General features: G+C 40.1%; 1 protein-coding gene across 7 annotated transcripts in view, besides 2 other annotated features; it reads right to left on the bottom strand.

The window, feature by feature from the left end:
• RNF182 (ring finger protein 182) overlaps positions 1-9,214 on the bottom strand; it is a 55,865-nt gene extending 46,651 nt beyond the window's left edge. For 3 of the 7 annotated variants that reach the window (NM_001165032.2, NM_152737.4, XM_017010450.3), the window contains exon 1: positions 8,637-8,708. The gene's annotated coding sequence lies outside the window, so the exon portion shown is untranslated. Of the gene's footprint in view, positions 1-8,293; positions 8,556-8,636; positions 8,709-9,087 lie in introns of those variants that run through there. The other 4 variants (XM_047418370.1, XM_047418371.1, NM_001165033.2 and 1 more) reach the window with 2 other exon arrangements.
• Positions 9,313-9,813: an enhancer, noted in NCBI's record as "H3K27ac hESC enhancer chr6:13924078-13924578 (GRCh37/hg19 assembly coordinates)". NCBI's record gives its function as "activates a minimal SCP1, AML or CMV promoter by ChIP-STARR-seq in naive H9 embryonic stem cells {active_cell/tissue: H9 hESC(naive)}" and the evidence as "EXISTENCE:reporter gene assay evidence [ECO:0000049][PMID:30033119]".
• Positions 20,334-20,695: a transcriptional cis regulatory region, noted in NCBI's record as "candidate enhancer chr6.697 targeted for multiplex CRISPR interference". NCBI's record gives its function as "positively regulates RNF182 gene expression with high confidence in K562 cells {active_cell/tissue: K562}" and the evidence as "EXISTENCE:mutant phenotype evidence [ECO:0000015][PMID:30612741]".

The raw sequence follows: 21,279 nt of genomic DNA, 5'->3' as shown, positions 1-21,279 counted from the left end.
GTTTGTGCAAAATGAAAATGTTTAAAATCTCATTAATAATTTTTATATTGATTACATGTTGAAATTATGGTAATTTTGATATATTAGGTTAAATAAAATCTACTACTAAAAATAATTACTTTTTACTTTTTCTTTTTTTTTAAGGGGCACAGTCTCACTCCATACTGGAGTGCAGTGGAATAATCATGGCTCATGGAAACCTGAACTCCTGAGCTCAAGCATCCTCCTGCCTCATCCTACCTCAGCCTTTGGAGCAGCTGGGACTACACGTGCGTACCACCATGCCCAGCTAATTTTTGCATTTTTTGTAGAGGTGGGATCTCACTATGTTGCCCAAGCTGGTCTTGAACTCCTGGCCTCAAGTGATCTTCCTGCTTCGGCCTCCAGGTGTGAGACACGCACCTGGCCAATTCTTACTTTTTAATATAACCCATAACTTAAAAGTACATATTGGACAGCACTGGTCTAAGGATTAAAAAATCAATACTACCTGAAAAGAAGGGTTTGGAGTCTCCTATTGTTATGATGACTACACAGGAGGGCCAAGCCTGTCCATCTGTGTCATAGGAAGAATTCTCCAGAATGTGTGCCATCCAGATGCAGCATTCAAGCCTTAAATGGGTGATCAATAAGCAACCATATTTTAATTAAAAAATGCTCGGACAGCAATTTCAAATCAATATGGGATGGTAAGATAACTAAAGTTCACCTAGAATGGTACCTTCAGTTTATCTGAGATTATAAACTTCCTTCTAGTGGGTAACTAACTCCAATCCAGAGAAGGTTTAGAATTAAATATAGAGATGAGGAAAATCAGACTTGTATTATTACTTTTTAGAAAAGTTTAGAAATATGTCTTATATTAATTGGAACAGCCTGTACACAATTGTCATGTTTTTAACGTTTAAAAGAATCTGACATCAAACTGACAGATGAGCTTTGTGATTCTAGTTCAAAATGTGTAATAGATTTCAGATATGATTTATTTTGATTGAAATGTTTAGGAGTATTTGACTATGTCTATACAATATTAATTTTGTAAGTGACAAAATATTCAAAGGAACTTAACCTAAGTATTTGGTAAGGTTTTACTTACTTGAGTCATAAATTTGCCCAATAAACATATGATTTATCTAAATAGAAAAATAAATACATTAAAGTAACATGCGATTTAAAATATTTAAGGTTTGAAATTTAACTAAGTTCATAAATGAGACTGATAATTTAAGAAATCCAATCTGTTCAATTTGAATTAAAGTTTAGTCAAAGAAAAAGTGAAGATGATTGCTCATATTTACCAGATATATAAACAGAGTATTAACATATGCAAGTTGAACTTAAAGGCCTAAAGAAAATTAGATTTTTGTTTCTACCTGAAATAAATATTAATTTTCCTTTCTCCACACAAAACTTACCCTTAATAACTAATAATTAAGTACATTAGAAATGTTAATTCATTTAATCCTCACAATCACCAAGTGAAGTAATATTATTGTCTCCACTTTACAGGTAATTGTCTTAGTCTGCTCAGATTGCTCTAACAAAATACCATATGCTGAATGGCTTATAAACAACAGAAATTTCTTCATCACTGTTCTGGGAACTGGGAAGTCCAAGATTAAGGTGCTGGCAGATTAGGTATCTGGTCAAAGACCACTTATTGGTTCACAGATGGTGCCTTATCACCGTGTTCTCACATGGCAGAAGGGGCCAATGACCTCTCTGGGGTCTCTTTTATAAGGGCACTAATACTATTTATGAGGGCTCCACCCTCATGGCCTAATCACCTCCCAAAGGCCCTACCTCCTAATACCATCACCTTGGGAGTTAGAATTTCAACATATGAATTTGGAGGGGACATGAGCATGCTGTCCATTGCAGTAACGAAATGAAGGCACAGAGAGATTAAGCAGCTACCTCAAGGTCGTATCACTAAAAGGTGGCAGAGGCAGTATTCAAATCCAGGCTGTCTGGCTTCTCATACTGGCCTTGAACATTAAAAAAAAAAGAGAAAAAAAGGTCACAGTGATCTATATAATTAGATGATCATAAAAGTGGGTTTATTCCTTACTATTCAGATTCTAAGTCTCATTCCTTTTTCCCCCCCAGGAGTTATCAAGGAAAGTATGCACCAGGAATTCCAGGAAAACCCCATGTCATGCAGGAGAATGACCCAAATGAAAACATCTTTCCAAACTTCTAACTTCATCCCTGATACCACACTCCAGACCTTCGGCATCCTAAAACAAGGAAATCTCCCACTGTAGCAAAAAGCATGTTGCTCTGACCCTGAGGGAATTTAGCCTGGGGGATATGACATTTATTGAGTTACTTTTCATTTCATTTCATCCTATACCACTCATGTAGCCCTTGTCCTTGTTCATTTCCAATCCAGAACACAGTATAAAACAAAACACAAATTCAGGAGACAGAAAATAACTCCATTTAATTTTGGTTTTTGTTCCAAAAATAGACTTGAGGATAGGGGTTCTCTGTCTCTTTCTACTCTAAAAGCCCATCTGAGGTCTGCAGCAATAACTGTGAACAACGATGTCTTTTTCTTGGCTACCTCCTGAGAACTACCTCCTCCTTCTCAGCCAGCCATACCTGCCACTCTGAATTTGCTCCACCAGGCAGTCCTCAACTGCCACTCTTTCCAAAGTAACATAATCCCAAAAGCATCTTCACTGCAGCAGAAAGGCATTTTTTGTCTGCTGGTAATTAACAAAGCAATCATAGTCAAATTCAGATTGTGGTTTATCCACACAAATCATGTTTTTAAATCTACCAACTCTGTACAATCTTGGATAAGCTATTTATTAGCCTTTTATAGATGAGGAAACAAGAATTATGGTGACAATCAAAAGAGACAGCTTGTGTGGAATACTTAATAGCGTACCTGGCACCAAGTAAATGCTTAATAAATGGTAGTTATTACAATATTTACTATTAAAAGAACCTACAGAACTATGTTTACTCACTTGCTTTTATGAACACCTGTCTCTTATTTAGTCCTACTTTTCACATAGCTTAAATAAGCTCCTGAAATTAAAATGCTTAATCATTCTTCTATGGAGACAGTAAGAACATGTGTTATTTCAGAGGAGGGACATGCAGAGTTCTACTGGGAGGGAGTGAGAAGGGAGTATCACTTAGTCCTTAGCACATGTAAGAGGTAGCCTAGGAAAGAGCAGGTGAGCCCAGGTTGAGGATAACCCCGTGAGGCAATGCAAATGGATCAACATTTCCAAGATAGATTTACATGTATATAGCAAGGCCAATACCACAGAAAATATGTAGTCACCCCTCAATATCTGCAGGGGGGCTGGCTCCAGGACCCCCAAGGATACCAAAATCTGAGGATGCTCAAGTCCCTGGTATAACATGGCATAGTATTTGCATATAACCTATGTACATCCTGCCATGTACTTTAAATCATCTGTAGATTGCTTATAATACCTAATACAATGTAAATACCATGTAAATAGTTCTTAGACTGGGTTTCTTATTTGAATTATTTTTTGGAATATTTTCCAAATATTTTTCCAAATATTTCCAATCCATAATTGATAGAATCTGCAGATGTGGAACCTGCAGATATGCAAGGCTGACTATATTCTTTTAATATATGAATACGAATAATAAATTAAGGAACAACTACCTTTGGAAAACATCTTTTTCATAAATTATTCTAGTTTCTATGTACAGAAAAGAATACTGGTACATGTCACAATATGCTATGAAGAAATGCTTCTTGTTTTATGACTTTAGGTTTTGTTTCTTTTTAGCAAAAAGAGAAAATAAGATGGGGGAGGAAAGCCCAAGCATAATAATTAGTGTCATTATTTCTACACTTAGTAGATATCAGTAAACAGAAAATAAAGCTTGCTGCATTCCTTGACATAAAGCCAGGATTCTGGTATATTTTGTGTACCTTTGGGTTAACGTAACAGAAAGTGATCATATTAGTTTCCTCACTCATAAAAAAGGGATAATAGTACCTACTTCAAAGGGTTGTTGTGAGGATTAAATGAGTTGATATTTCTGAAGTGCTTAGAAAAGTGTCTGGCCCATAGGGAAGAATTCATAAAGGTTTGATTGACAGAGAAGAGCTGGAAGTCAAAATTACTGCAATCAGACTAAACAAGTTCTCAGTAAACCAATATACAGGAAGAAAAAAGGCCAGAGAAGACCACACAGAAACCTTTTATTGTAGATTTAAAATTCAAGAGTTTGAATAAACAACAATTCTTCAGTATAACTGTGCCCAACACATCACATGGTGATCAAATTATGTAAAACACCATGTCTGCCTTGAATGACTATAGCTATAGAAGAGGGAAGATGATTCACAACAGACTGATCAGAAACACAACTTCTCACTCAAATACAATATGTTGGCCAAACACACAGTTTTATTTTATAGTTCCATTGCCATCTTGATTATCTAAATCATGTACCTGACCAATTAGATAACATTTCTCATGTGGAAAAATTTTATTATTGGGCCTTAATTTGTGGTTTACAATGCTTAAAGTGCACTTAAACCACAATTCAAGAGAGTCACGTTTTAGTTAATTGGGAGGAAAAATGGAGGCAAGTGACCAGGACCAGCACCAGCAACTCTTTTGTAGGACTAGCCAGCCTCTGGAAATGGTCACTAGGTAAAGACCTCAGGTAATCTGCTTTAGAGTCTGGACCATAAAGTGTTAAAAGAGATTATTAGAGCCATCACTGTCCCCCAGCTTCCTGCCCCAGACTCCCTGACCCTGCCCTCCCAACCACCACCACCGCACCCCCACCCCTGCACCACCTTTGGCCACTATGCCAGCAGACTCTCAGTATGTATTGATCTCTTTAACACCTTTTAACTCACTGCTGCCTCTACCTCCTAGTTCTTTGGTTTTCACTTCAACCGATTATAAGATACAGAAGCAAGGATCAAGTTCAAAACATGTATGGAAATAAGCAATCACCTAACAGGATCCCAGATTCTACTATCCAACAAACCATGTCTATAAATACTCAAAATGCAAAATATAAAGATTATAATGTGTTTTTTATGCCCACTATTTTCTGATCAAATTACAAATTAACCAAATCATTTTTAAAATAAGCTCTGGAAATATAAAACTTTTTAAAAAAACATTACAAAATTAACTGGTAACTTTTGAAAAAAGGAAGGCTGAAAACAAAGGAGAGTATTTGGGTATCATACATTAAGAATTACATATAAAATAAATAATCCTAATAGCTGAGAAACAAGTAAGTCCCCAACTATAAGAGGTTGGTTGACTTTCATCAAGCAACATAGAATATATAGAAGGAAGCATTTGATAAACATTTGATGACTGATGTCCAAAACCATACTCCATAACTGCTACAAAAAATTGGCACATCAGGAAAACAATCGTTTATCTTGAACTATGTTTATATCACTTAAATTATGTACAATACTGTATAAAAGTATACATTTTCCCCAAGCACTTGTGGCTTACCAAACAGCTTAAGACATCTTATCTCCATTTTAATTGAAAACATGAAAAATGAAACACACGTCCACAAAAGTTTTTCAGCTTCTATCAATCACTATTAATAATCCATGTCACTAAACACCACAACCTATCACCATGACCATGTGTCTCCTGTGCCTTTTCTCAGCACAGTAGTTCTGACAAATACCCACTGTGCACAGCAGGTCAGTTAACAATACCTGATATTTACAGCATTTTGTCTTGAGGTCTCAGGGCCACACTATTCTCCCCAGCCACAAATCTAAATCTAAGTGTTTTGGTAATGAAGAAATCATTTAAAAACTACCATCCTTCACAAATGTGCTTTTATAAATGCTACAACACATTGCACTAGATGCTAAATTACCAACCAGTAATCATGTTATCACAGTGCAACTAGAAATTGCAAGAGAATGTTGACCCAGAAACAGTCAATAAAGGCTTCAGTGGCTTTATTTAGGCTGCCTATGCAGGCTTATATGGTTACAAACAACTGACTTTCAATGGCACAAACATAATGTTAATCCTAACTTAAACAGGAACATTTGTGGCTTTTTTTTGTCTTTGGATATGCTTCATAAACTGAATTACAGAATTCTTTCAGGTAGAATACAGCTATGGTGACAATTATCAGGCCATATTTTACAGCTTATACCAAAAATTAGGACCAATTTTACGTCATAAAATTAAAACCCGTAAGCTAAAATGCAGGAAAAGACTCCTACTCCCGTGAATCAGCAAGAGTGATGACTAGTATTTTACACCTGGGGATATGCAATGCTGTTGCCTGCTTCCACCAGGTGGCTAAACCATGGACAGAAAACACAATTGCTGTTTGCATTTTCTAAGGACATATTGCAGATATCATAGTATTTTTTCTTTCATTATCTGGTTATGCACATACCTCAGAACACTAGTAACACATATAAACATGCCAGATTATTGTTTTCCACTGCACTGACACAAGCTTCATTTCATGCTTCGGAGCTCTTATTAATAAGCCACTACAACCAAGCAGTGCATGCAATACATGATTGTTGATTTCTGTATACCGACTTTATTTTTTGGCAGAAAATGATGCAGCTCTGAAGAAGCCAAACTATATTGAATGTTGTGCCCGTGTGAGCTAGCAGCAAAGGCAAAGCACCGGTCCTTACTGTGCTAAATTCACCATGGATATCTCCGTTCTTCAGCACTCAGATTAAGGGCCACAACATAAATGTTTAGGCTAGAACTCACAGTGTGGGTTTCATCTGGCAGAAAGCACGGACCAAGTCCTTGAACTTGAATACTGGTTTTGCTAACAAAGATCTGAATAAAGCTGTTCTGTTGGTCCCTCAGGAAAAAAAAAAAAACACACACACACACACAAACACACAAAATAATTTATTTTTAGTACAAAACATAAAACTACATTCTCTGTCTATATAATGTGCCTAGGCTTCAATATCCTATTTGCTGTTCATGCTTAAGTGAGAAAATACTTTTCTCTCCCGTTTATCTTCTCAAAACAGATCTACTTCGTTTTAATCAATGTACGATTTTATTACCGTCATGAAAGAGTATTTAGCAGAGCATCTGTGAATCTTCCACAGGTAAAATTCAGTTTAAAAACAAGCCCAATTGTGAAATAACCTGCAAACTGTTAATTGCAACTTCAATCCTTTAGTTTCCAATACAATCTTCTAATGAAGTGGCATTACTTGAAGTTGCTGGCAAATATGAACAGACTGAGAAACCTAGTAATCAGCAGGCTAACAGGTGTTGAAATCCCAAAAGAGGGAAGAGGAATATTAAATAATCACTCTTTGCCTGACACCTCAAGTAGCTGTAATATGCAGAATTCCAATCAACTTAACTGCAATTCAAAATGATCAGTGGTACTGTTTTCATTAATTACTCTCTAGCAAAAATATAATTTCTTGCATTCCATATAGTTCTTTAAATGACCTATTCCAACTTATACATTATTTTACTAAGTTGGATATACAATTTTATATGTTAGATTATTTTCCAGTTATCAATATGACATCTCATATTGTTTAAATATGATTTAAAACAAATCTTATTAACATATATACAATTTCCTTCTGAATTGATCAACTGTATTTCTGAAAATGTATCTGTTTTCTTTCATATTACTACATGTAAGATGATGTCTAAGTACCAAAAAAAAAAGTCTTCACAGTCACAATTTAAATCTGTGCTTCGCGTCTGCAACAAACTATCACGAAATGATTGCAAGGGTTGGGGCCACTGAGAAAGGTACCTATAACCTATCCAGTGCCCCAGTGGCAACCGCATCGTGGTCCTCATCATCCCACTCATAAACACCGATGCAAACACCGCCCAGCTACCTGCCTCCAGAGGTGCTTTGGATTGCCTCCCTACACATAAAAACAAAAGGCACTTTCCAGTTCCTTACAGCATGAACACAATACCTTCTAGAAACAAAAGCAATGACCTCGGTGCCAAGTATCTCCTTGACAAAGTATCGGTACTGCTCTACATTCTGGTCTTGCTAGTCGGGGAAAGCCGGGCTACCCTTACCATCCAGTTATAGGTGCAACTGCACCTTCCAAAGAAAAAAAGGTCTTTCGATTCAATATCCAAACGAACTTCAGAAGCCTCCTCAAAATGCTTCAGCCACAGGCATAAAAATGGGCTCACTTTTCAGAGATTCGTAAAAATCTTTCGCTTGTCCCTCTTACTACCCTCCCAACCCCTCCTCAAAGAGAATGCCATGAAACATGAAAGTCCAAAGGTAAATACTTTCATACCTTTTTTTCCCCCAAAAGCCTCGATGGCACGCCAAGAAGGAAAATAACAACAACAACAGAGGGGCAGCTCCCTGAGCAGGTGCAGCCCGCGCGGGCGCTCCGCAGCCGCCCTCCGCCGCACAGCCCCTCAAGTTGGTGCCAGGACGGCGGCCCCCGTGGTGCCCGGAGGGAGACTCCGCGCGCGGGCCCCGGCGCCGCTCGGCCCGAAGTTTGCCGCCCCCTCTCCTCGGCGCGCTTGGGCGGCCCGGCGCCGTCCAGGACTGCGGGGCTGGCTGCTGCCCCAGCGTTGGGGAGGCCCGGCGTCCCGCCGACCCCTCCCCGGCCGCGGGCGCGATCGCCTTACCTGGCCGGCGGCGGCCCAGGGCCCGGGAGCCGCTCCGGCTGCGGCGGCGCCTGGGAGGGGAGGGAGGTTCCCGTGGAGGAGGAGCTCGCGCGAGGAGCTAGCGGGCTGGCGGGCGGGCGGCTTTGTCTCTACGGCGCTGAGCCGCCGACCCTGCGTCACCATGGCAACCGCCGGGGCCCCCCCGGCCCTTCCCCTCAGCAGTCCGGGTATTCGGAGAGGACAAGGACCCCCGATGGGCCGCCACCACCACAAACACGCCCCTCTCTCAGTCTCCCTCACAAACCGCCTGTTTCTCCCCAGCGAGAGGGGAAGGCTAAAGCGGAGCGAGCCCAGGGCCAAGTGGTATTCGCATCCTAGTAGGCACTCCTTTGCTTCCCCACACTGGACATTCCAACTCCCGTCGCACCACCATCCCCCCCACAGACACCCTCCACCACTACCACCACCACACCTTTCTCCTGTGGAGCTGTACCCTCAAAATGGAAATTCACTTAAGGGAGGAGAAAGAGCAATGCAAAGTGATAAAGTGTTGAGCAACTGGTACTCGGTTCTCCTGTTGCAACTGCCGCAGCATGCACGGAGCTGCCAAGGGACGCCGTGCCGCCTCCTCCCTCTCCCCCTCCTCCTCCTCTCTCTTTTAGCAAGCTTTGCCTCTGCTGGATGTGGTCTCACTCCACCCAACCCGTGTATCTGTCTTGTTGAGGGCTCCCGTAGGAGAGAGGGGAAAGGGGGCTTTATCTCTGATGTAAACACTGGATACACTTGTAACCTCAGAAGCTGAAACACAACTTTCAGGCTGCAGTATGGATCTCAGCTGCTGCCACACTGCGCAGCTACTGGCTGTGACCGCTAAGCATCTACCATGAGCCCTGAGTGACTCTGTGCCAAGGACTGGTCACGTACTGCAGGCCATGGCACTCAGGAGCAGAGAAAAGAAAGCTAACTTTTTCCTCTCCTGAGGAAATTCTTAGAGAGGGAGAGAAAAGTACCAGCAGACCCTTGGTCATGCTTCCTCTAAAGGACGAACTAGAGGGCAGCCTCCATGGGGGGAGTGAGTCATCCCTCCATACTGTTTTCTTGAAAGATCCGTTGCTGAATCCAAAAGCTACAGTGTCTTTCTTCAAACCCTGGGGAACATGACATTTATTTTTTGGCATTTGTGAATCACCAAAGGAATGTCAATGATTTATAATAAAATCCACGGTAGCTGATGTTTTCTGGGTTTACTACTTGAGAAGCCACAAAGCAGAACAATGTTATTGCCATTTGAAGGTACACCTATATTAACTAATGAAAAGATAAGATCTATTTCATGGTGGAAAAGGAAAACAGTTTGTTCCTCGGAGAGACTGGCCACTTTCTTGTAATGGGAATATTCTGAATGAAGTCAATAATATTCCAGATGAAGTCAAAAGACAAGGTCTTTTTGGCAGGCCATTAAGCATTTGGCAATACCTGCCAGAATTCAAAATGCACATACATTTCTCCCAGCTATCTCAATTCTAGAGATCTGTCATACAGAAACACACAAATGTGTAATGATAGATATAAAAGGATATGCATTGCAGAAGTTTTGTAATAGTAAATGTTTGAAACAACTTATATGCCCATCAATAGTGATATGGTTAAATAATGTGGCACTTCATACCATGTAATACTATGCATCCATTAATAAGAATAAAATATATAAAATTCATAGATATTGATTTCTTATTAAATGGAAAAGGGGGGCTCAGAACCGTATGTGTGGGTGATCCCATTCTGTACAAAAAAACTGGATATATAGGAACAGAACAAAAACATAGGGATAAAGGTCTATAAGAATGCCTACCTAATTGCTAGAAGTGGTAACCTGTTAACTACAAAAAAAATTGAAGGGACAGTTACCTCTTACGATGTACAATTTAGTACACATATTTGGTTTGTTTGGCTTTTTCAAATGAGCATTTATTAGTAATTTATCAATGAAGAAGCAAAAACAAAAAGCTTTAATAAATGTTTGTTGACCTGCATGCACATTACTGCCTGATCAAAAACTGAATACAGAACAGGGAGGGACCATTGACTTGGCCATCCCTGCCCTCAGCTGAAGGCTTGGAAAAGTCCACGTTGTGTCCCCACTTAGAGCATTGCTTAGTGACCTGGTCCTGCGTTATTCTGTGAGACATTCTTCCAGACATTCATTTTTCCAAAAGAGGTTTAGCTTTATCTTAAGGTCTGCTTCCATTCTGCCTCTTGGAGAAAATTAAAAGACTTGTCAGGAAACCATCTTAAAATGTGCCACCTTACTTACCAGGGGATATCATTTGAATAGGTTAAGTGGCAGCTTTTAGTCTGTTTAGCTAAACTGAAACTGAAGATACTAAAGCTTAAAAATTAATGTGTGGATACATGACTAGTCTTTCTTATTCTCACCATTTTTGAAATGAGGTTAAAATAATGAATTTGCTTTCCTAAAAAGATCTAGAGCTGCACAGTCTAATTCAGTAACTGCTAGCCACATATGAATTAGCTACTGAATTGGTATGTTCAGTAAGTGCAAAATACACACCAGATTTCAAAGACTTGGAACAATAACTTTAAAAAAATAATATCTTATTAATAATGTTTATATTGGTTACATGTTAAAATATATTTTGAATTTATTGAGTTAAATAAAAGATGTTATTAAAATCATTAACTTTTGTTCCTTTCCACTTTTTTAACATGATTATTAGAAAATTATAAATTATATATGTGACATTTTGGACAGCTCTGTTTTAGAATTAGTGTTTATAGCAAAATATCATTAAGAAATCTAAAGTTAGCTATTCTTCTTAACTTTTAGTTAAAATGTAATTACCTTATTAATGCTCCCCAACTCATAAAGATGCCACAGTATGGCAATTTCTGTTAAATAATTTCAACTTATTAGAATCCTATTATATGCAAGCATTAGCTTATGCTTTTATATTTTAGAAAGATTTTAGCACAGACACTAAAGTCAGATTACCTGGACCTGAATCTCAGCTCTGTTTATCAACTACATGACCTCAGCAAGCAATTTAATACATCTGTTCCTCAGTTTCCTTACCTATAAAATAGGGATTATAATAATACTTACCTCCTTGAGTTGTAAAAATTAGATGCTTGATTGTCTACAATGCTGAATAAATGTTAACTATTATTACTTTTATTATTATACTTTGTTGGTTCTCTCACTTTTTTTTTTTTTTTGAGACGGAGTCTCACTCTGTTGCCCAGGCTGGAGTGCAGTGGCACAATCTCCACTCACTGCAAGCTCCTCCTCCCAAGTTCACGCCATTCTCCTGCCTCAGCCTCCCGAGTAGCTGGGACTACAGGCGCCCACCACCACGTCCGGCTAATTTTTTGTATTTTTAGTAGAAATGGGATTTCACCATGTTAGCCAGGATGGTCTCAATCTCCTGACCTCATGATCTGCCCACCTCGGCCTCCCAAAGTGCTGGGATTACAGGCGTGAGCCACTGTGCCTGGCCAGCTCTCTCACTTACTCTACTAACCTTCAATTCAAGTTAGTCTATATATGTATATATAAATCTTTCATCTATATATAGAGATAAATCTCTCATTTTCCTTTAAATGGTCTGATTGGAACTGTAACTGAGTCATCAAAAGTTCATTCTTTTTACCCTTGAACTGACTATAAAGTTATCAAAATTAAAGAGATATTTTGATTCAAGTTAGTAAAATAAACCAGAAATTTCAATAACAAGATCAGCACCTATAATAATTTCATTTTGATAAATATTAAATTTTTTTGGTTTAACAAAATGCAGCAAATGTTATCAAGTGGTTTAAAGTCAATTTATTGTAGTCAAATTTCTAATATTTAAAGTAAATAATACATCCCTACTAAAGCATTTGTATAAAAATTTTCCTATTCCCTAACTTGAAATTTGTCTATTCAAATCCTTATTTTTTCCTCAATTATACGTCATAATCATAACTGGCATTTATTGCACACTGTGTCCAAGGTCACACAGTTATTTAGTAGCAGAATTACTACTCTACTAACCACTACACCCTACGGCTTCAATAAAGGGGAAAATAACATTTCTTAACCTTTACTTCTTGACACAATCAAACACTAAAAGGAAAAGCAACTATCCTAAGAAATATCTTAAAATTATTTAAGAGCTGGAGCTCAAATATCTTATCCCGCTAAGTCATGCATTTTGGAACAAGCAGAAGGAAAATGCAAGCTTCGATGTTTGCTCATTACTATCTCATTAAGCAACGGCTCCTTCAACTCCTGGCTTCTGGCCATGTTCTGACATTGTTTAATGAGGTGATACGAATACATTCAAGACACATTTAAAAATACTTGTTTATGTCTTAGATGTTATGTTAAAATACTTGTTTATGTCTTAAAATTAGTTTTCTTCATGGCTAGCTTTTGAATTTGACTGGGAAAATCCCAGGCCCAGCCATTTAGAAGGGTTGAAAAAGAAAATACATCTCAGCTGAGTCTATAGAAGCCAGAAACCCAGAACTCACAATTTCCTGTCTTCCCAATGGCCCCCCTTTAAGGCACTGGGCACATCTGCTCTAAAAGGCAAATATTGACTAAGATATGCCTGTAAGTAGAGAAAATGTACTTTTTTATACACTGCTCCTAAGTGGTTTGAACATCCTTGTTCCAAGGAGATATGTTGATCCCTTGAATTCAACAACCTGTGTCCATAGTGGGGAGTTTAAATCAAATTTGTTTCAAAGGCTCCAAGGGGTGCCCAATTACCCTTCTCAATTCCTTAATCATAGTGAATCTCTTCGAGAAATTAAAGATTCAGCCAAATGACAAGAATTCTACCCAACTTGAAATTAGTTCTGTGTATGATGCCTTGGTTTACAAAGACTATGGTCTACCCTACTGGCTTTAGCAATAAAGAAATTAAAGGACACCCAGCTTTCTTATCAATGCCAAACAGTCCCATAATTGCTTATAGAAGTGAAGGAGGCTATCTTCTCTCTTCAATCCATTCCACAAAGATAAGATAAATTTTGAAATATCCTTGCTACTAAACCAAGTATTGTGAAAAATTTTGTCAATAATTGATAGTGGTGATACATTTAACCACCAAGCTATCTGGCACATCAGTAGTTGCCACTGATTAAAGAAGTGTATCCTCTGAAAATCTTGGAAAATATAGCCAAAAGTAAATGGGATTGAGAAGCACTGTCTTATTCATCATTTCTTATGCCCTTGTGTTTATTGTATAGGTCATTTAAAAATATATATGTGTTATTAACAATGGGGAAAACGGCATGGAAACACAGAGTTAAAAAACTGTAGGTCATCGAATTTTAGCAAAAGAAAAGAAAGCAACTAATACATTGCAGTTCTCTGCCAAGAGCTCTCTACAGAGAGATCCAACATAACATCTCAACTGAAAGTATAATTTGATATTGATAAGATAAGATTAAAGTAAACTTTTTATGTACTTTAACTTGATTTTAAGTAAATTTTGTTTTAAATAAATTAACTTTTGGCTATCTTGAAAAATGTATTCAGAGAGTTAGCGTAAAGATATCATTTCCTTTTCTTGGAATATTAAGTAGAGACATCTCTTTTCACGGCCCCTCCACATCCCACCTTGCCCATACTCACAGCTTATCTCATCTCAGTGGCAAAAATGTGTCAGAATATGAACTAGTTCCAATAGTATCTGTTTTAAATTTCATTATCTGTTTACTCACTTACTGATCTCTGACACAGCTGCAAATTAGCTCTTAGCAGAATGGAAATGATTTGTTTCTAGTTTCCCCATCTATAAAATGAAGGTGGTGAGGTCTGCTCTTATCTCCAGGAAAGAATTAGATCGTTCAGTAAAGTTCATTGATCAAAGGCTCTTTGAGACTAATGTTGCAATACTATTGGAGTGAGAGACTAGAAGCGTTATCAAAGGAAACTTGTATATGGTACACATCGTTATAACAGTAAAACTATTTTAAAGGCCCTCTTTGTGACTAGATCTTTTGAACATTATAAATGAAGAAGTCTACACCATCAAAGGCAAGCCAAGGGTGTTGTGACCAGACAGGCTCTTCATGGATGAGGTACTCAATGTGTCAAGGGAAAGATGCAACACAGCATTTTCCACTGACACCTGGCCGCCCAGCTGAGAGTGTACCTTGCTTTGCTGGATAGGTACAGATCACAGGAAATACCCAGACACAGGCTTGTTAACTGCAGCCAGATGTGGCAGATTAGGCCAGAGTGAAAATCTGGAACAAGCTCTGCTCACTGGGGTGGGGTGGATCTAGAAAGGGGGAGAGTAGAGTTGCCAGATGAAAGAAAATTCATGCAATATTTGGAACATAAGGACACTAAACCATCTATTCTTTGTGTTTATCTGAAATTCAAATCTAACTGGGCATCCTGTATTATTATTTGCTAAATCAAGTAACCCTTGACAGGGAGCTCAGGGAAGATTTTAACATTTGTAGATGTGGCTCCTAGGAAGAACCTATTCTAGTGAGCAGAACCAGATCAACACAATATTAGTCAATGGCCAATAACAGATAAGCAGTCAGCAAAGGAAGTAGGGAGGCTGAGGGAGAGGAAAAGCAAGTTATTAGAAATGGCACGAGATTAAGGCCACATTAACCAAAGCAAACTGACAGGCCCAAAACAATAGGCTCAAGGGGTGGCCTCTGCCTCCATACCATTCACAAAACCAAACCCTCCCATCAGAGACACCTCATTTCTATTTCCCTGGAGATGTATCAGATTTCCCAACAAGGAGGTAGAGTCTATGAAATCCACCCCAAAAATGCACCACCACCTTGAATGCGACCTTCCCCCTGATTAATGGTTTAAAGACCACTCTATTTTGTGAAGAGTGGATTTGTGGGGAGCAAGATGAAGACAAGGAGACCCATGAGCAGAATAGTTCAGGAGGTTAGGTAGGAGACAATAGTGGATGGGACAGGGGCCAAGGTGGGTAGCGGTGGAGATGGAGAGAGGTAAAACACTAAAGAAGCATTTTGGAGGAAGAACAGAGAGGACTTGGTAAGGGGCTTCCTCCAGGACATAAGGGAGAGGAAAGCGCCAAGAATCCTTCGCAGGTTTCTGGACTTCCATGAAGGATTCTTTGTTATGGGAGAAAGGCTGAGCCAATTTGATGATCATTCCTGAAAGAAGAGACTGGGATCAGTTGGTAGAAGTAGATATAGCTGAGATGTCATGATACACGAGTAAGACTAACTGCCATACTGATCCCTGGGAAGGGGGAAGATAAGCAACTGCAAAGAGAGAAACAGAGAGGCCGAGGTGGGTGGATCACCTGAGGTCAGGAGTTCGAGACCAGCCTGACCAACATGGTGAAACCCCCTCTCTACTAAAAATACAAAAATTAGCCGAGTGTGGTGGCACATGCCTGTAATCCCAGCTACTCGGGAGTCTGAGGCAGGAGAATCACTTGAACCCAGGAGGCGGAAGTTGCAGTGTACTAAGATCGTGCCATTGTACTCCAGCCTGGGCAACAAGGGTGAAACTCTGTCTCAAAAAAATAAAATAAAATAAAGAGAGAGAGAGAGAGAAACAGAGACAACAGCTTTGTGGCTCCTATGAGTCCCAAAGGGCAGCCTTTCTTTCTTTCTGGTCTTGGAACTCATCACATACATTCCTTTCTGGGCCCTCTGCCCTTCTGTTCCTTCCCTAGCCTGGAATGCTTTTCCTCTCAGCTTCTCACAAGACTGTCCCCCTTGTGCCTCTCAGCTCTCAGCTTTCCACTCAAATGTCACCTACTCAAAGAGAACTTTCCTGACAACCCAACCTGAAATAGCACTTAGTTTCTCATTATCACATTGCCCTCTTTTATCGTTTTCAAAATATTTACCATCTTCTGACACTGTCATGATGCTCATATGTGTATTGCCCTTGTCTGCGATCACACCCTCTAGAATGTGAGTCCTAGGGGACTTGCCTGTCTTTTTTCACACTGACAACTCAGCTTCTAGAACAGCACCAGGTACAATGATCACTCAGTAAACACCTGACGAAGGGCAAACAGACAGCTTCCCAGTGCCTGGTTCTAGTTCACAGGGAGCCAGCTTTCATTTGTTTCCTGCCCTTGGATGCTGTAAAATAGCCATGTCCTTAAAATAACTTTTTTTTAAAATCTCCTTTGAGTGGCTTCTTTTTCCTACCAACAAAAGGGCTGAATCAGAACACACATAGGAATCTAAGTGAGCAGAAGGGCTGGATGAAGGCCAGGGAATGTGTCAACTAGGTCAGCCTCTAATAAGAAGAGCCATGGGTTTGTAAATGTTAGAACAGGTATGTCAAGAGAAGGAAAATCCATCATGTGAAATGCTAGCTTACTACCTGTTGATGAACATTAGCCAATTCAAAGATTTTATTTCTTCATGCAATATTATGTGCTGCCTTCCTTCCTTCTCTGTACAATCTCTGGGCTGGGCCAGAGATCCAGAGATGAATAACGGGTGGCCCCAGCCCTGAGGAAAGGCTGTCTGCAGATAAGGAAACAGTGACAATTAATAACAGCCTAGGTGTATGTGCTGCGTAACCGTTGAAGATCATGCTTGGGGCCCTGTAGGGTATTAAGAAGGTAATGTTGGCACTGGCCTCTGAGGCAACAGAGGAAGGGAGGTCATTCCAGGTAGAGGAAGCAACAGATGCAAGGCGTGGAGACGCTGAGCCAGCATATCAAGTTCTGAGGCTCAATTCCCCAGGGACAGAATTTAGAGTGTTCATGGGCTGATGGCAGGAAATGACACCAGGCCAGTAGCAAGGCCCCAGATTGTATGGACCTGTGTGCAGAAAAGCCATTTTCTTTAGTAAGATTAAAACCCAGGATAGTAAAATCTAGCCCTGGAAAAATGCTTTCCTGGTGACCAAGACCTCACTGGTGACCAGAATATGGCACCACTTCCCTCCCCTTGGAACTCTCATTGCTTACGCTGTCATTCTTGTGCTGGCCTGAGGGGTCCCTTGTCCTCCACACTGAGGAGCTGGGACTTTATCCCCTAGTGACCACACATATGCACACACCCTTTCTTGCAGGCTCTTTGGCATTATTTATGAAACTGCATTCAAATGAGTTTAGCAAATATTAAAGCCCAATGTGATTAATAATGAAGTATATTGGAAGTTAACAGGCCTGTTGGTTTCAGTCCTGGTTTCCATGGACAGATATCCAGTGTCGCCAAGACCAGCACCATTGTTAGCCTCATCAATGACAGCTTGCTAGAGACAGGCAGGGGGCCAGGAATCCCCCAAAGCTGCCTGTTGATTTGGCTGATGGAGACTTTAGACTCACAAGGGGCTTCAGTTAACTTATTTAACAGAAAAGACATTCACTAGAACCGTTTGATTTTAATGAAAACAAATCTTTAGTCTGGAAGGGTACCCTGTTCTTTCAGAAACTCACACTACAGATGCAAGCCAGGGTGAAACTTCTCTCCTGGCTCTAGCCATTTGCTGCATTCTATTAACTCCATATTCAGGTTTCAGATTGACCTTCCTACTCCTTTTCATTTCCACTATCCTAGTAAGGACTTTCTGTATTTTATCTGAAATATCATAATAGCTTCTCAACTGGCCATGTGGTCTTCTGTCTCTCCCATCTTTGGTCAACCCACTCTTTGCTGCTGGCTTAACCTTCACATAGCTTTGAACATGTCATGCCCTGCCCCTAAATACTCCATGACTCCCCATTGCCTATAGAATGACAATCTTACCCAACTCTTTTGCTCTCTCTGTTTTTCCCATTGTAACCCCATTACATTGTCTTCATGCCCTGGCTAAACTAAGATACAGTATTCTTCTGTAACAACGTGTTCATTCAGCTTTGGAGTGTCCTTTTTCTCCCACTCTCCCAGGTTCAAATACTACCCACCCTTCAATGCTCACTTCAAATGCCCACACTGCCAGGAAACAATCTCTCATTCTTTGAGTGGGATGGAATCTCTCTCATCTATCATCTTCTATAGCATATAACCTTGTATCTTTCTTGCAGAGCTTACAACCTTACATTTTGTGCTCGAGTGGCATTTGCATATGTCAAAAACAAAAGTTTGGTGCCTTATCTTTGAATCCCATGTAGCCCCTAGCGTGGTGTCTTGCCCTCCCTTGGCAGTTAGTTTGTTGAATTAACGAGTTAAGTATTTCGTTTGACATAGAATTCCCACCCCAGGTGTAACTTCCATCCGGGACACTGCTGTGGCATTATGTTTAGCTGACGAGTGAAAGTGCACATCAAAGGTTTGTTTTGTCTTTCTATTTTGTGTGGGAAGTGGTAGTTGGTTGTTTGGGGTTTTGTTTGTTTTGGGGTTACGGCAAACTGAAGAGGTGCCAGTTTGTAAAATGTGGCCTGGAAATTAACTTGCCTCATTGCTCCGAAAGCACTCTTATTGGCACAAAAGCACAGCTTTGGAATTGCAGTCTGAGCTTCCTTTCCCTAGTCCCTAATTACTCATCTGTGCTTCTTTTGTGGGAAGGTCTTTTTCCTTTCTTGGACTTTTGCCCTGTTTAACAGCCCTGAGCACCCTAGTACTGGAGACACATTTATTTCATCAGCTTTTACTCCAAAAGGATTTTACAGGATCAATTTGCTTAAGCAAACTTTTAATTTGGTTTTGTTTCTCTCTTCAGGGACTTTATTTGTAAAACTGTAATGCATGTGCACAAAATCAGATGACTAAGATGATTATAGTCCTGGGGAGCAGAAAGCCAACTCACCTCAGGGGACATGGGGACAAACTCACTGCTTACACCTCAAATGGATGCACTGGTTGTTTTCACGCTTGTGGCAGCAAATGTTAAATTATTAAAGTTCTCCTGTCAGGTAGGATGCTTTTAACTATGAGGAGGGAAATCACTGAATAAAATCAGTCCAAATGATAGGTGTTTATTTCACAAAGCAAGACATCCAGAGGTAGGCGATTCCAGCAGCTCATGGTGTCAGCAAAGGCTGGGCTCTTGTGATCTCTGCTCTGTTTTCCCAGTTGGCTGGCAGGAGCTTCCCTTACAAGCACAAAATGGCTGGCATGGCTGCGAACTTCATGTCTTCACACAAATACATCCAAACAGGAGGAAATGGAAAGTGACAAAATGCATTTCTCATCATCCTTCTCCCTTTAATCAGGGAGCAACATTTTTCCCAGAAACCCTCGGTGGCTGAAGTCTCAATAGATTGATTGGGGTCACATGCTCATCCCTGAGCCAATCATAGTCAAAGGGAATTTCTGAAACCATGATTGGCATGGGCCAATCACATCATTCCCTGGGGCTGGACACACTGGCAGGTTAAAAAAAAAAAAAAAAAAAAAAAAAAAAAAGGACTTCTAAGAGTACGAAAAAGGAAACAGTTGTTGAGCAGACACCTGCCAAATGCTCCCTACTGCTCTCCATCTAGTTCAATGCCGAGAAGTTTCTTACAAACAGTAAATCAGCACTGTTAGGAGCGAATGAAGAACTTCCTATATAAATGAATCCAAACCCAGTCATATAACAATCATAACCTACTATTGGTATCATCATCATCATCATCATCAACAGGGATCATGATGAAAGGCTGAATCTAAAAGACCAGGATTGTCCACTTGATTTAAGCTGTAGCTTGTTTTATTGTCCTGGATACTTTTATACACAGTTACCGAAAACACTTATCTTACACTCACCTAAATTAAGCTGAAAGGCTATCACTATTCATTGCTTTCATGTTGATTGCCAAATTAAATAGGGGCTTATGTATAATTATTTGACGTGGAGGCTTGTCCTGACTTGTGGGAAAATTCCTCTCGATCTGTCCATCACCATCAGCTTTCATTCATTCAAACTGAGTCACCCAACCTTTATCACTTCCTGCTAGCCTGACTACAGCTGTCATTTATCTCTTATCACTGCTTCACAGTATGCCACCTTGTGTCCTTCATTTTTGTTGTTGTTCTTTCTCACCTCAAATTTATTTGATTTACTTTTGCATGGATTTACTCATCCCCCATGTCTTGGCGTTCACACGTTTACTGCAATGTTCTTTTTGAACATGTTGTAATCTAACATTGCTCACAGATATATAAATTCCTCCATGGGAAACCTTCAAGGTTACAAATCACATGTAAGACTACAAATATCAGAGTGCTCTTTGAAGCTGTGCTCCATTTTGAGCCATTTAAGAGACTGCAGGGGGAATGAACAGCGCAATTGAGCAATTCAAGAAGGATGACAGAAATGCCAGGGAACAGAAAGATAGCTCAGCCTCAAAGAAAACTCAGAGGACCTTGGGGCAAACTAACTGCCAATACTGTAAAGAGACAGGAGGAGCACAAAAGCTAGCAGAGGACTCTTGTGGAAAGCTGATTTAGGGAAGATAACAATACAAGAAGGATAACTACTGGCCAGGCGCGGTGGCTCACGCCTGTAATCCCAGCACTTTGGGCGGCCGAGGTGGGCAGATCACCTGAGGTCAGGAATTCAAAACCAGCCTCGCCAACATGGAAAAACCCCATCTCTACTAAAAATATACAATTAGCCAGGCATGGTGGCAGGTGCCTGTAATCCCAGCTACTCAGGAGGCTGAGGCAGGAGAATTGCTTGAACCCTGGAGGTGGAAGTTGCAGTGAGCTGAGGTCATGCCACTGCACTCCAGCCTGGGCG

Source organism: Homo sapiens, chromosome 6 (genome assembly GCF_000001405.40).
Source record: "Homo sapiens chromosome 6, GRCh38.p14 Primary Assembly".
Classification (NCBI taxonomy): domain Eukaryota; kingdom Metazoa; phylum Chordata; class Mammalia; order Primates; family Hominidae; genus Homo; species Homo sapiens.
This window is presented reverse-complemented; position numbering and strand designations above follow the sequence as displayed.